A 14,540-nucleotide genomic window follows, 5' to 3' on the forward strand; every position below is an offset into this window, starting at 1 on the left:
TCTTTATAGTAAAATGTGACTAGCAAGTGAATATGTACACACCGCAAAACCTTGGTTGCTTTAAAGTCGTTCTGTCCAGTACCCTTATTGCTAGGAAAACAGAAACTGACACAAATATATATTTTTTATAAGAAAAAAGGGGAATACATACCTCTAATTACCAAATAAGCTTTAACCAATAGTTTTTATCAAACCCACTTTTCTGATTAACCAGCACAGAGCACTTTACAAGAAACAAAATTGAGGAGAACTGGCAGAACCAGAAGAGAAAGTCATGTGCAGTAGAAGACAACATGGAGACTTCAACATCAGAGGAAGCCCCAGAAAAACTAGAAAACAAAAACTATCTATAGGTGTCAGAGCCTGCAGACAACCATAAATGCTGGTATGGTAAGGTACTCAAGGGAAGAAAATGCATGAGAAAGACAATGAAATTTTGAGCAAGAAAGACACAGCTTTAAATCCTAATTCTACTTCTTGGTTTTATAACTGAATCTTGTTACCAAAATTCTCCAAGTCCCACTTTGTTCGATACTTATATCTGAATGAGAGGACCCGGTTTACTAAGTCTCAAGGATTTCCTGACATAAGCAGGTGCAAAGTGAGTGCTATAATAGATGCTCAATCTACGGTAATATTTTCTGTTTTATTTTCTTCACTGTTATTATTATGCTCAGTAGTATTTTCCCAAGAACTCAAGGGAGTGACCTACGGAAAATTTCCTTGCAGATATTAAAAATTAAATGCTTGTGCTTGAAATAGTAAGGTTCAATGATCTGAAAAACTCACTTATCTGATAGATAACATTCTCCTGAGCTTTTGAACAAATGATGTGTGAATGCACATAATTGTGTTCTTATAGAACTTGTTCATGTATATACAATATAAATTGTAAAATATGCATATATATCAGCAAAAGATAATATACTATTCAAGTGTATTCATATTAATTTAATAGTCTTGATGAATTTAAATATTCTCAAATATATATGACTTTTCTCCAATGCATAAACAATTGTAAATAAATTACAAAAACTAAAAGCAGGTAAAATTAGAATGTGTATATGTGTCTGTACATAAATAAAAATGTGGATACACAGGCCAGGCGTGGTGGCTCACGCCTGTAATCCCAGCACTTTGGGAGGCCAAGGCGGACAGATCACGAGGTCAGGAGATCGAGACCATCCTGGCTAACACAGTGAAACCCCCTCTCTACTAAAAATACAAAAAGAATTAGCCAGGCGTGGTGGTGGGTGCCTGTAGTCTCAGCTACTTGGGAGGCTGAGGCAGAGGAATGGCATGAACCTGGCAGGCGGAGGTTGCAATGAGCCAAGATCGTGCCACTGCACTCCAGCCTGGGTGACAGAGGGACACTCGGTCTCAAAAAAAAATTTGTCTACACAAATATATAGTGGGTGTTTAATACATATTTATTCTATAGCTTACAATGCAGTTGTATAATATTTTCCTCCAAAATATTTCCAAAATTATGTCAAACCTTGTGTGCTGATAAATACGAATTATGGGATAGAAATTTTTCACATTGCATAATTAATTGTGTTAACTTGCTTGAGCAGATCTTTGTAACCATAGGAAATGTAGAGTATTCATTTTCCTCACAGGAAAATGTGCACAGACACTCACAATCATCAGGTCCACATGCACACCAGGCTAAGAGCATATAAGCAAATCAAAGGGAACCAAAGGGAATCATGAGGGATTTTTGCAGCTGGAGTTGCAGGTCTTTCTTTCTTTCCTTTTTTTTTTTAATTTATTTTGGACAGAGTCTGTCTCTATCCGCTGCAACCTCCATCTCCTGGGTTCAAGTGATTCTCCTGCCTCAGCCTCCTAAGTAGCTGGGATTACAGGCACCTGCCACCTCACCCAGCTAATTTTTGTATTTTAAGTAGAGACAGGGTTTCACCATGTTGGCCAGGCTGGTCTGGAACTCCTGACCTCAAGTGATCTGACCACCTCAGCTTCCCAAAGTGCTGGGATTCCAGGCGTGAGCCACCGCGCCCGGCCAGGAGTCACAGGTGTAAGACAGCCTGTACGTGGGGCAGCTCTTCCTGTCTTGTCACTGTCCAGTGACCTTTTGGGCATAGGTGCCCCTTTTGGTTGACTTGTTAATTATTAACCTTAGCAAAGAAAGCATGAGTAGGGTACAACTTTAGAAGACTGTTATGAAGCCCTGAGTGTGAGAGTGAAAATCTGGAGCCTTAAATCAATACCATCTTTTAATTTGTAAATAGATTTGAGGCCCACCTGTTTTGTCCTAAACCCCCAAATCTGAGTTTTTTTTTTTTTTTTTTTTTTTAATAAACAGGTAACTTGGGTAGGTAGACAAGGTTATAGTCTGCTGCACAAGAAAAGATATAAGTCAATAAAGATCGAGGGTTGTTAAATCTCCGCTGCAAATAACTACTCCACTTTTGTAAAGAGATGTATGTTAGACGGATATGCCATGTCAGGAAAGGTCAGAAAACAATGGTGTCTATCTACTTCCTTTTTAACTTCTGTTACTTGACCTTAAAAATGTGGAAATGTTCCTGGGGCGTCCTAAGTGTGTTTCTCCAATTTCCTCCAAAGAATGTGAGTTTCTGGGGAGTAAAAACCGTCCTTTCTTCTTAGACCTTCACCTGAGAACCAAGTGTCCTCTCAGCACAGAGCTTCCTTCATATTTCAAGGGGCACTGAAACCAGGCAAGCTTGAGCTTCAGAACAGGCACGCAGAGGCCTGGAGAGAAGAAGCAGTGAAAGACTCATTTGTGTTCAGTGTTGTGATCTCTTCAAGTAAAATTCAAATTGGCTCCAAGGAAAAAAAAAATCTCATTTTCAGTTGCAGCCTGCTCTGAATCAAAGTCACGCTAATTAATCCTGAAAGCTCACTCCGTGCCAGCCCTGGATGTAAAGGCTTTACATTTCCAACCTTGATAAAGTCCACAGCAGGAATGTCAGACAAGTAAAAGTGCTCTCCCACAGGGAGTTCCCCCACAGGGAAACTGAGGCACAGTGAAACTCCATAACTTGCTTGCCCAGGTGTCTGAGCAGAGAGGAAGCCATGGGGTCCAGCTCCAGAGCGCACCTTCCTTTCCTGACAGCAGTGACAGGGCTCAAGTTGGTTTAGCTCATCCAGATTTATGTATATGGAGCCCCTTCTAACTCTCCAGGATCCCAGCCATCCCTCTTCATGAGCCTTTGAGGGAAGCAAGACAAGCGTTACTGTCTCCTTTCTACAGGTAAGAAAACCGAAGCTCAGGGGAATGACAGGACTTGGCCCGGGAATATGGGCACCAAATAGCAGCCTCAGCCCAAAATCTAATTCTCTGGGCTTCACATCCCAAACTATGACATTTTCCAAATGATTATTGGAAAATAGGTATTTGCCTTTTGCCTTGCACTGTTTTGCTGTCCACTTTCTGGAGTTTTCTCATCATGGGCAGTGAGCAGGGCCTGAGTCCTTTGAAGCCTCAGGAGACGCGAGGCTACTCCTGCAGGTCTGGCGATGTGAATATGAGCAGCCCTCAGGAGCCAGAGATGCTCCAGGCTGAGAAGCAATGGCCTTACCAGTACTACCGAGCAGATGTCACACCCATGAAAACAAAACAATCACTTGTTAAGTAGGCACATAGCTACCCGAATAGCAGGTATCAGAGTGTAGAGGGACGGCCAAAGGACTCTCTTTGTCATCTACAGTGTCAGTTATTTCTTTATATCTTTCACTTTAAAATAAGCATGGTTTCATTTGACAATACTTGGCCAATTATGCATTCTTTTGAATTTAAAATTATCTCAAAAAAACAGGTCTGTGTGCCTGTGTTTGTGTACTGCAAGTATTATGGGTGTGTAAATACATATACATATAAATGCATGTATATGTATTTTATGGGTATATAGATATTGTACATATATGTATATATGTAATTTAAACTTGAGCAAATCAGTCAAATGTGACTTGAGAAATTCTCCTTTGTAAAATTACTAATTTAGTTTTTATCAATAAATATGTAAAGAACAATAATTGTATGCAATACCATACTTGGTATAATTACATGAATAAGATGGAAAGTATAGCTGTGAATTGTGAATTCAGGGCACAATAGTATAATAGAGATGCTAATGTTACTGAAAATACATCCTTACAAACTCATTTATTGCTAACAATTAATGAGTTATGTATTCATATTTACCTGTGACATTTGGAATGGGCTCAGATAATTTAAAAACAAACAAAAAAGCGTTCTGCTAGCCTCCTCCCCTGCTGCCACTTTCTCCTGGGTGCTTATATGCACCCAGTCCATATCCAACCCAGGCTTTTCTCACATGTGGTTCCGGATCCATATAAAACCTGAAGGACATCCACATTTCTACCAGCATCGCACCCCAAAGTGAGTCGACAAAAACCCACTGAGACTCAATTTTTTATTGCATTGGCTTCCCAGTCCCAATAATATCTATCTATCTATCTGTCTGTCTATCTATCTATATATACATATATATATATATATATATATATATATATATATATATATATATATATATGTATGTATTTGAGATGGAGTTTCTTTCTTGTTTCCCAGGCTGGAGTGCAGTGGTGCAGTCTCGGGTCACTGCAACCTTCACCTCCCCGGTTCAAGTTATTCTCCTGCCTCAGCCTCCCAAGTAGCTGGGATTACAGGAGCCCGCTACCGTGCCTGGTTAATTTTTTTGTATTTTTAGTAGAGATGAGGTTTCACCATGTTGGCCAGGAAGGTCTTGAACTCCTGACCTCCGGTGATCCGCCTGCCTCAGCCTTCCAAAATGCTGGGGTAACAGGCGTGAGCCACCATGCCCAGCCCCTAGTCCCAATAACTAAATACGTATTTTGGTGACTTTTATTCTTTTTGCTTCAAGCAATCCCTCTCCCAGATTCTGTGAACATCAGCCTCACAGCTCAGAATGTCCAAACTAAACCCATTATCCTTTCTCCCCACCTTTTTCTTTCCACATGTATCAGTCCAGTCTCTGACACAGCAATCTAGGTTTCTCACAGGACTCCTTCCTTCTCTTCTTCAGCTACTCATTCATCGAGTATTCGTGCAAAACCCTATTCACAACTTTCTCCCCTTGAACCTGTCGCTGGTCAAACTTGGAATTTCACAATCTCTAGTTTGCACTTTTAAATTTTATCCTGTTTGGTTTGTGTATTTCTTCTTTTACATTTTTCATCTCTTGTCTATACTAACACCAGAAAAGCTTTATAAAGCACACATTGAGTCATGGTATCTCCCACTTCAAACCTTTCAGCCCTGTCCCCTGATTTAGAAGGTGAAGTGCACAGATGTTTTAGTGGGAACAGACCATGCATGACACGCTCCATCCCATCTCTCCAGCAACATCTTTAAGTACCCCCACTCCTGCCACCATCATAAGCAACATCTCTGTCATCATGATTTATGCATCTCTGTGCGGGGCAATTATGTGTTTCCCTCTATAAATTAACGTTCTATGATCTTACTAAGGGCAAACTTCATTTATTTGATCTTTGAACCTCCAGCGTGCATCATGATGCCTAGTTTAATAAAGAGTGTTTTTTAAATGAGGAAATAAAGTGATTACAGAAAAGAATGAAATGTGTTTCCTTAAGAAGCCTATTCCTTGTGATCAATAGTAAGAATTTAAAGATTATTAAGAGATAACATTTATTCTTAAGGTAATGAAGCTTAGTGCCAAAGAACAGGATTTTTCAGCCTCATCATTATTGCCAATATAGACCTGAGAATTTTTTTGTTGGTCCTGTGCATTGCAGGACGTTTATCAGCACCCCTGGCCTCTACCCACTAGATGCCAGTAGCACCCTATTCTCCCAGCTGTGACAGCCAAAAATGTCTCCAGGCATTGCCAGATGTCCTCTGAGGTATAAGATCAACCCCATTTGAAAACCATTGCAACAGAAGAACCAAACACCCGTGGGTTTCCGTGTCACTAACTGAATAGTAATAATAAGAATAACTCATATTGATCTTGCAAAGAGGGGCATGTGCTGTGTTGAGACGTTTTCATTACTGTTTTAATTATTTTTCTCAGGGTAATATTTACAGCAGCTCCAGAAGTTAGTTTTTGATTATCAGTTTTACAAATGAGAAAACAAACGTTCAGTGAAGTTCAGTAAAGATTACGTATCTGTTAAGAGGTGGAAAACAGCTTGGCCTCAGACGATATTCCTCTAGTCTTAGGCTGTGCCCTTAGCCATAAAGCTTCGCTTAACCTTGATGCCTTTTAAATAAGGAAGATTCTATTAAATATACCTGCATTCAATACAATTTAAGACAAAGAATAAGAAATATCAGTAAGAATTGATCACTACTCAGTCCATCAATATCTAAATGTATAGTCCTGTGTTTATAGATAAGCCCCTTCTGAAAATTAATAGTGTGTAAATATTTTGCTTTATTTCTTTTTCTTAAGCCTCAGAGAATATTAAAATTCTCAGTATCTCAAATAATATCTTTATTTGTAAAGTTATAAAATTGCACTGCGGAATTTCAATCTCTATACTTCTGTTCATTTCAAATATAGCCTCAGCCTTAAGACTATAAAGCCATTTTAAAATAAGAAATTTGTGGCTGAAGTTATAGATGCTAGGGGATTAAAAGATGAGTACATTGCTCAGTGAAAGAGTAGACAACAATATTAGGGCTTAATATACAACATTAGGAATAGATATTAGTTTTATTTTTCTTTTTACTAAGACTTTACCAACATTCCTGTGTGGGCGTTTATAGCAGAAATTAGAAATCAGAGCAGTGAGATTCTGGAGTAATTAGACACTCATCTTAGAGTATTTCTGCATTTTATTCTTTTCTGTAATCATTTATTTCCTCATTTTAAAAAAACACTATTATACCAGATATTTTGCTGTATCTTTTAAAATCAACATATCAAAAATGTTTGTGACTGACTGACCATAATTTTATTAGCCGAAGAAAATGTGATACTCTAAATATGTTTTCCTTAAAGAGCTTATATTTGCCAGAACCCGTGCTTGTAACAATTGTACAAGTTGAAATATAATTTAGAGCAAAATTAATAGTGATAATTACCCGTGTTCCTCTTCAAAAGCTCAATACTTCATAAACACATATCTGAACATTAATTATCCAAATATCTTAATCTGAGAGTAATAGGCCTTTTGATTCATGTTTGGAATATTAACAAATAGAATAATATTAAAATTCTCAATACATCAGTCAATTAAATTATGATAAAGTATCCTGTTGCCTCTTAAATAAAGAAGATTCTATTAAATACACCTGCATTCAATACGATGTAATACAAAGAATAAGAAATAGCAGTAAGAATTGATCAATACTCAGTCCATCAATATCTGATTGTATAGTCCTGTGCTTATACATAAGCTCCTTCTGAAAATTTATAGTGTTAAGTGTGAATATTTTGCTTTGTTTTTTCTTAAGCTTCAGATTTGGATCTGTATTTGGAAGAGTACAGGTTTCTAAAAATAAAATTTGATACAATTAAACAAAGCTGTGTCAATCCCTTCCAAACTCAGTTGCCTGGCATATGAAACCCTAAATGATACATCTCTTTCTAGTTCTTGTTATTGTCACCAGAAAAAGTCACAAAATCTGTACATTTAGAAAAGAGAGCTTTAATTCTAAAGTCGGGTAGAGCAACCTGCAGGCAAGAAGCATAGCTCGTGGCTGAAAATGAGAAGCAGGTGTTTTGAGGGAGGAAAGGATAAGACAGGAATTTGTGCTGCATGGGTTGGCTAAGTATACATATTCAACAGGTTATAGGAGGAGCTATGAATAGCCACAAATGTGCTGCACACATGCATACTAAGCTAACATGTATCTTACGTACGTCTACGTTCACTTTGGGGTGGAGACATAACATTTCCTTATATTTCAGTTAGGCTGTTATACATCGAAAGGTGAAGCAGAGGGCACGAAGACACTCAATGCACAGCCTCCGTAAACTGAACAGATACACTTCATGGTCCTGTTCTCTTACAAGGAAGGAATGTTGCTTAGCTGCAATGTTGAAGCTGCAAAAAGGAAAGGGCAACATCAGGTCATGGGTTGAAATCAGCCGTGGAGCAAGCCTGTAGTCCCAGCTACTCGACAGGCTGAAGCAGGAGAATTGCTTGAACCTAGGAGGTGGAGGTTGCAATGAGCCGAGATCGTGCCCCTGTACTCCAGCTGGGGCGACAGAGCAAGAGACTCCATCTCAAAAACAACACCACCACCACCACCACACACAAAAAAACATTTAGTCAGCTCCTGGCACACAGTTGATCCTCAAATCTTAGAAGAATGCATTTAGTAGAGAGATGGAAATAACCCATTTTGTAGTTTTATCTCCCTGTCTTATAACTAAATCCTTTACATTTTCAGGCAAGATGATTGTCATAAAACGTACCTTCTTAAAAGACAGCTTGGGATTTAGCAAAGCCACCATTTACAATTATTTCTGAATGTACATTAAACTAATGCCACTGACATGAAAAATGGTTTTCAAGTTATTACTTAATGTTTTATTGACACAACTATTTTTATTTTTTTATTTTTATTTTTTATTTTTAAATAAATTTTTAATAAAAACTTCTTGCTGCAAAGCACAGGGAAATGATAAAGCACTTAGAAAAGAATAAGACATTCCCATCACAGTTCTCATATGTAAAGAGATTGGAAGTCAGTACTCTCATCCTTACAATAATAAAGAAAAATGCTGAACAAACTGAAAAATCAACTTTTTTTGTATTCTTCAGAGAATTGAGGTTGCAAATCACCATCCTGAACTCTCAAAAGAAAAGTAAATACAGAGAATCACAGCTGAGATTAATTTACCTGGAGCAGAAGTTGTTGGAGCCATAAACTAGTAAAAACTCTAACTGGTTATTTTAATGAATTGCTGGAGGCTACGTGTGTCAAAGCAGGAGGCTGAGATATGACAGCAGGGGGAGTTGCGGTTTTAGGGGATCCCTCACTTTGCATGGGTTTTACCTACAGGCACTGCACCGTTTTCTCTTCAGAAAGGTCCTACGAAGAAGAGCCTGCTCCTCTCTAGGGGGAAGAGCACCATCTGTGAAGTACAGAGTATTCTACATGACAAAGGCCAACTACCCAAACAAAAACTATCCCAGAGCCTTGGTCCAGTCAGGGAAGGGCATTTCTTCACTCCAGATCTCTTTGGGCTCACTGTTTTGCCAAACACGGGGAAATGAAAACTAAGAAACACTTGTGAAGGTCACAGTCCAAGGACTCAGGTGCACTAAAAGCTTGAGATTTACTCATAAGATTAGTGATTCTATGATTATAGAACATTTCCCCTTCCTGGAACCTTACCATGGCAGCAACAGGGCTCCAGTATGATAACAGTGGATTACAGTTCAAAGAACTAAAAGTCACAGACTGTTTAAGGAGGAGGTCTTAGGGGAAGCTCAGTTTCAACAAAAGAGATGAAAACAAGGGCACTAAAGGAATTTGGGCCCTCTGGCACCTACAGATACAACAAACATTAAATACAGCCTTACTCCTAGCCAGATTAACATAAAACCTCACACTAAAAACCTATTTAGCCGAACATTTTGATTCCTGCCTGTAATTCCAACTACGAGAGAGGCTGAGGCAAGAGGATTGTTTGAGGCCAGGAGTTCAAGACCAGCCTGGGCAACACAGGGAGATCTTCATCTCTTAAAAAAAAAATTAAAATAAGTACGTAAATAAAAGGGTGTTTACCTCAGTTTCTATTACTACCTGATATATCACATCTGCCTTTGAACAACAATCACAACAAAATACAAGGCCTGGTAAAATGCAAGAAAAAACAGTCTGAAAAGACAAAGCAAGCTACAAAAGTTGACTGAGATTTTCAAATTGTCACACGGAATTTAAAGTAACTCATGTACTAAGGATTCTAATTTAAAAAGTGGACAACATAGAAGAAGAAATGGGTGATATAAGCAGATAAACGGAAATTCTAAGAAAGAATAAAAAAACATTTATTTAGAAATAAAAACATCGTAACTAAAAGGAAGAACAGCACCGATAGGGTCCTCAGTAAACTGGATTCATCTCAGGGAAAAAAATCTGATACTGAAGAGCTTGAAGATAAGTCAATAGAAACTTCCCAAACTAAAATGTAAAGAAAAGAAAACTTAAGAAATATAATATTTCTCCTGACTTGCTCTTTCTAGATTTATTGAACGTTATAGATGATTCTTTTTCATGTACTCCCTTAGCAACAGAAGCAGAGGCAATACTTCTTAACTCCCTCTGTAAAAGGAGCATTACCTTAATACCAAAACCAAACAAAAACATTACAAGAAAGGTCAACTACAGGCCAATATATTCCATGAGATTATATGCAAAATGCCCTCAAAATATATTGGCAAATTGAAACTAAAAATGTGTAAAAAGTAATGTATACCTTGCTCAAGTGGCATGTATACTAGGTATGCAAAGCTAATTTAATATTCAAAAATCAATTCATGTAATCTAGCATATTAACAGACCAAACAAAAAATATGTAATTATATAAATTAATGCAAAAATTCAGGAAAAGCATTTGATATAATGCTACACTCATCTACATTAAATTTTTTTCAGAAAAATAGGTATAAAGCAAGCTTAAATTCTTGAAGAATATCTACAAAAAGCCTATAACTAACATACTTAATGGTGACAAGTTGAGTACTTTACCCCTAAGATCAGGTACAAGTCAAAAATGTTCATGTTGCCTCCTCTCATCATTCCCACTCAACATTGAATTGGAAGTCCTAGAGATAAAGGAAATAAAAGATACATAGACCGGTAATACATAAATAAAATTCTGTATATTCACAACTGACATGACTGTCATGTAGAAATCCCAAATAATTGAAATATAAACTCCTGGAATTAATAAGTGATTCTAGCAAGGGTGTAAGACACTAGGTTAATATAGGGTTTATCACTTTTCAACATATGAAAAATTAGCAATGGGAATGTGAAATTAAGTACAGATTATATATGTAAAAAACCAAAAAAAAAATCAAACATGAATAAAAGGAGACATATTCTGTGTTTATGGATTGAAAAACTCAATATTGTTTAAAAGTCCATTTTTACCATCCTGATTTTTAGATTCAACGTAATTGCAATTAAAATTCCAGCAAGCTATTTTGTAGATATTTACAAATTGAGTCTAAAGCTTATGTGATAAAACAAAAGACCCAAAATACCTAAAAACATTCAAGAAGAACAAAGTTGAAAGAATGATACAACCTGATGTCAAGACATGACACTACAGTAATCAAGACAGCATGGTGTTGGAAAGCAAACAAACAAAAACATAGATTGATAGAAAATAATAGAGTGTGGAAATAGAATGACATAAATATAGTTACTAATCTTTGGCAAATAACAATGGCAATTTAATAAAGAAAGGGTTGTCTTTTAAATAAACAGTGTGGAAACAACTAAATGTCTATATCAAATCATCATCATCATAATTATCTGCCTAAATGTACAATACAAAACTGCAAAATGTCTAGAGAAAAACATAGGAGAAAAATCTATGTTACACTGAGTCGGTGATTTTTTTAAGATACAAATCCAGAAGAGTAATTCATAAAAGGGAAAAAACTAAATGAGTGTATTTTAAAATTAAAAATAATTTTAATTTCTTGTCTATGAAAGACACTGTGAAGAGAATCAAAAGATAAGACATAGGCTGAGACAAAATGTTTCCAAAACACATATCTGATAAAGGATTATATCTAAAAAATATGAAGAACACTTAAAACAAGAATAATAAAATAAAAAATCTTTTAAATATGTTCAAAATATATGAACCAACATATCACTAAGGAAGATATAAAGATAGCAAATAAACATTTAAAAAGATGTTCAACATCATCTGACATTATGAAATTAAAAATTAAAATAACAATGTCATCTAATAGGCTTTTAGTCATACCACTACAAACCTGTTAGAATGTCTAAAATTCAAAATACTGACTATGCTGGTTGTTGGAGAATATGCAGAGAAACAGGAACTCTCACTCATTGCTGATTGAAATGGTAAATGTTACAGCTGCTTTAGTAGACAGTTTGGAAATTTTTAACAAAGCTAAACATAGTTTTAACATATGATACAGCAATCACATTTCTAGGTATTTATCCAAATTGATTTGAAACTTTGTGCCAACGAAATGCCTGTACCTGAATATTTATAGTAGCTTTATTTATAATCACAAAACACTGAAAGCAACCAAGATGTCCTTCAATAGGTGAATGGGTAAACAAACTATGGCAAATCTATATGCTGAATATTATCTAGCAATGGAAAAATTGAGCCATCAAGCAAAAGAAAAAACATAAGTGAGCCTTAAGTGTGTATTGTTAAGGGAAAAAAGCTAATCTGAAGTGGCTTTATGCTGTACAATTCCAATTATGTGACATTCTGGAAAAGGCAGAACTAGAGCATGGTAAAGAAAAAAAAAGATCAGTGCCTTCCAGGGGTTTTTGGAAGAGTGGAAATGGTTAAATAGGTGAAACACAGGAGAATTTTTAGATAGTAAAACTATTTTACATGATACTGAATGATAGATTCATGACATTATGCTCTTGTTAAAATGCATGGAACTTTATAGCACGAAGAGTGAACCTTAGTGTATGCAAAACTGATAAATCATTTATGAGGTCAGGGGATCCCACAATGGAATGCAGAATGTAACAAAATGAATGAACTGTATTACAAATACATGAAACAAGTTCACTGAGGAGGTTGAGGGATAAGGTCCTGGCTCCAGTAACTTGGGAAATAAGCACTGTAGGTATGTAAGACTAAAGACAAACAAAACTGCACATAAGCACTATACCCTGGATGATAAAGTTGTTTCCCACGGAGTTACATTTTAGCAATTCTGATACTGCTACAACAGTATGTCGGAATGGAACAATAAAGTAAGCGGGATGAAAATTTACAGATAACCAAGAGAGAGGCAGCCAGAATAATCAATACAGTCATGAATTAAAGTTGTACATGTCAGTATGAACTCATTTTAGCTTAAGAACGATACAGACTACCATGGTTTGAACGTGTCCCCAAAACTTCATGTGTTAAAAACTTAATCCCCAAATGTATATGTTGATTGGAGGTGAGACATTTGGGAGTTAATTAGAAATAGATAATGTCATCAGGTTGGGGACCCTATGATAGGATTGGTGAGTTTATAAAAAAAATGGAAGAGAGACACGAGCTGACATGCACACTCTTGCCCTCTTGCCATGGGATTCCCTGTGCCATGTTATGACATAGCAAGAAGACCCTCACCAGATGCTGGTGCCATACTTTTGGACTTCCCAGCCTCCAGAACTGTAAAAAATAAATCTCTTTTTTAATATATTACCTAGTCTGGCATATTCTGTCATGACCATAGAGAACAGACTAAAGCATATGCAGTAACATATAGAAGCATTTTTATTCATATATATGGAAAGCCTGGAAGCAATGACATCTTAGTTGCAACAAACACACCTAGTAGCCATATCTTGGTTTTTAATATTATTCTCCAATGCAAAACAAACAAACAAACAAAAAAACCCCAAAAACAAAAAGCAAACAAACAAACAAAAAAACCAGAATTCTTTGGATCAATGGATGTTTCCAGGACTAGAGCAGAAAATATATAAGATGAGCCTGGACCATCCTATAATGTCAGAAAGTAAGTATGATAATTTAAACATGCCCCCTCCAAAATTCAGGTGTTGTCAGTATGACACTATTAAAAGGTGGGACCCCTAAGAGATGATTAGGCCATGAGGGCCACACCATTCTTAATGAGATTAAGGCACTGGTAAAATATGCTTCACTTCCCATTCAACTAGCTTGCTCTTCAGCTATTCTGCCATGTGAGGACAAGACATTCCACTCTCCTGGAAAAATCCCTCATGAGATAGTCAAACCTCTCAGCACTTTGATCTTGAACTTAGCAGCCATCAGAACTATAAGGAAATACAGGTTTACTATTTATAAATTACCCAATCTGTGATATTCTTTTATAGCAGCACAAATGAACTAGGACAAAACAACACAAAATCAGAAACACACACACTGTTATGTAGATGTGACAAGTTAACACAGCCAAGCAACAAGCTCCCAATGGCCAAAGCTGGGACAATTTGAGGAATAAAATTGTCAGGCCTCTGAGCCCAAGCCAAGCCATCGCATCCCCTGTGACTTGCACGTATACGCCCAGATGGCCTGAAGTAACTGAAGAATCACAAAAGAAGTGAATATGCCCTGCCCCACCTTAACTGATGACATTCCACCACAAAAGAAGTGTAAATGGCTGGTCCTTGCCTTAACTGATGACATTACCTTGTGAAAGTCCTTTTCCTGGCTCATCCTGGCTCAAAAAGCAGCCCCACTGAGCACCTTGTGACCCCCACTCCTGCCCGCCAGAGAACCCCCCTTTGATTGTAATTCTCCTTTACCTACCCAAATCCTATAAAACGGCCCCACCCCTATCTCCCTTCACTGACTCTCTTTTCA

At 37.0% G+C, this 14,540-nt stretch overlaps 1 annotated feature.

The window, feature by feature from the left end:
- Window positions 14,039–14,540: an enhancer, noted in NCBI's record as "OCT4-NANOG-H3K27ac hESC enhancer chr2:5140759-5141260 (GRCh37/hg19 assembly coordinates)". NCBI's record gives its function as "activates a minimal SCP1, AML or CMV promoter by ChIP-STARR-seq in naive H9 embryonic stem cells {active_cell/tissue: H9 hESC(naive)}" and the evidence as "EXISTENCE:reporter gene assay evidence [ECO:0000049][PMID:30033119]".

The sequence above is a fragment of the Homo sapiens genome, chromosome 2 (assembly GCF_000001405.40).
Source record: "Homo sapiens chromosome 2, GRCh38.p14 Primary Assembly".
Lineage (NCBI taxonomy): Eukaryota > Metazoa > Chordata > Mammalia > Primates > Hominidae > Homo > Homo sapiens.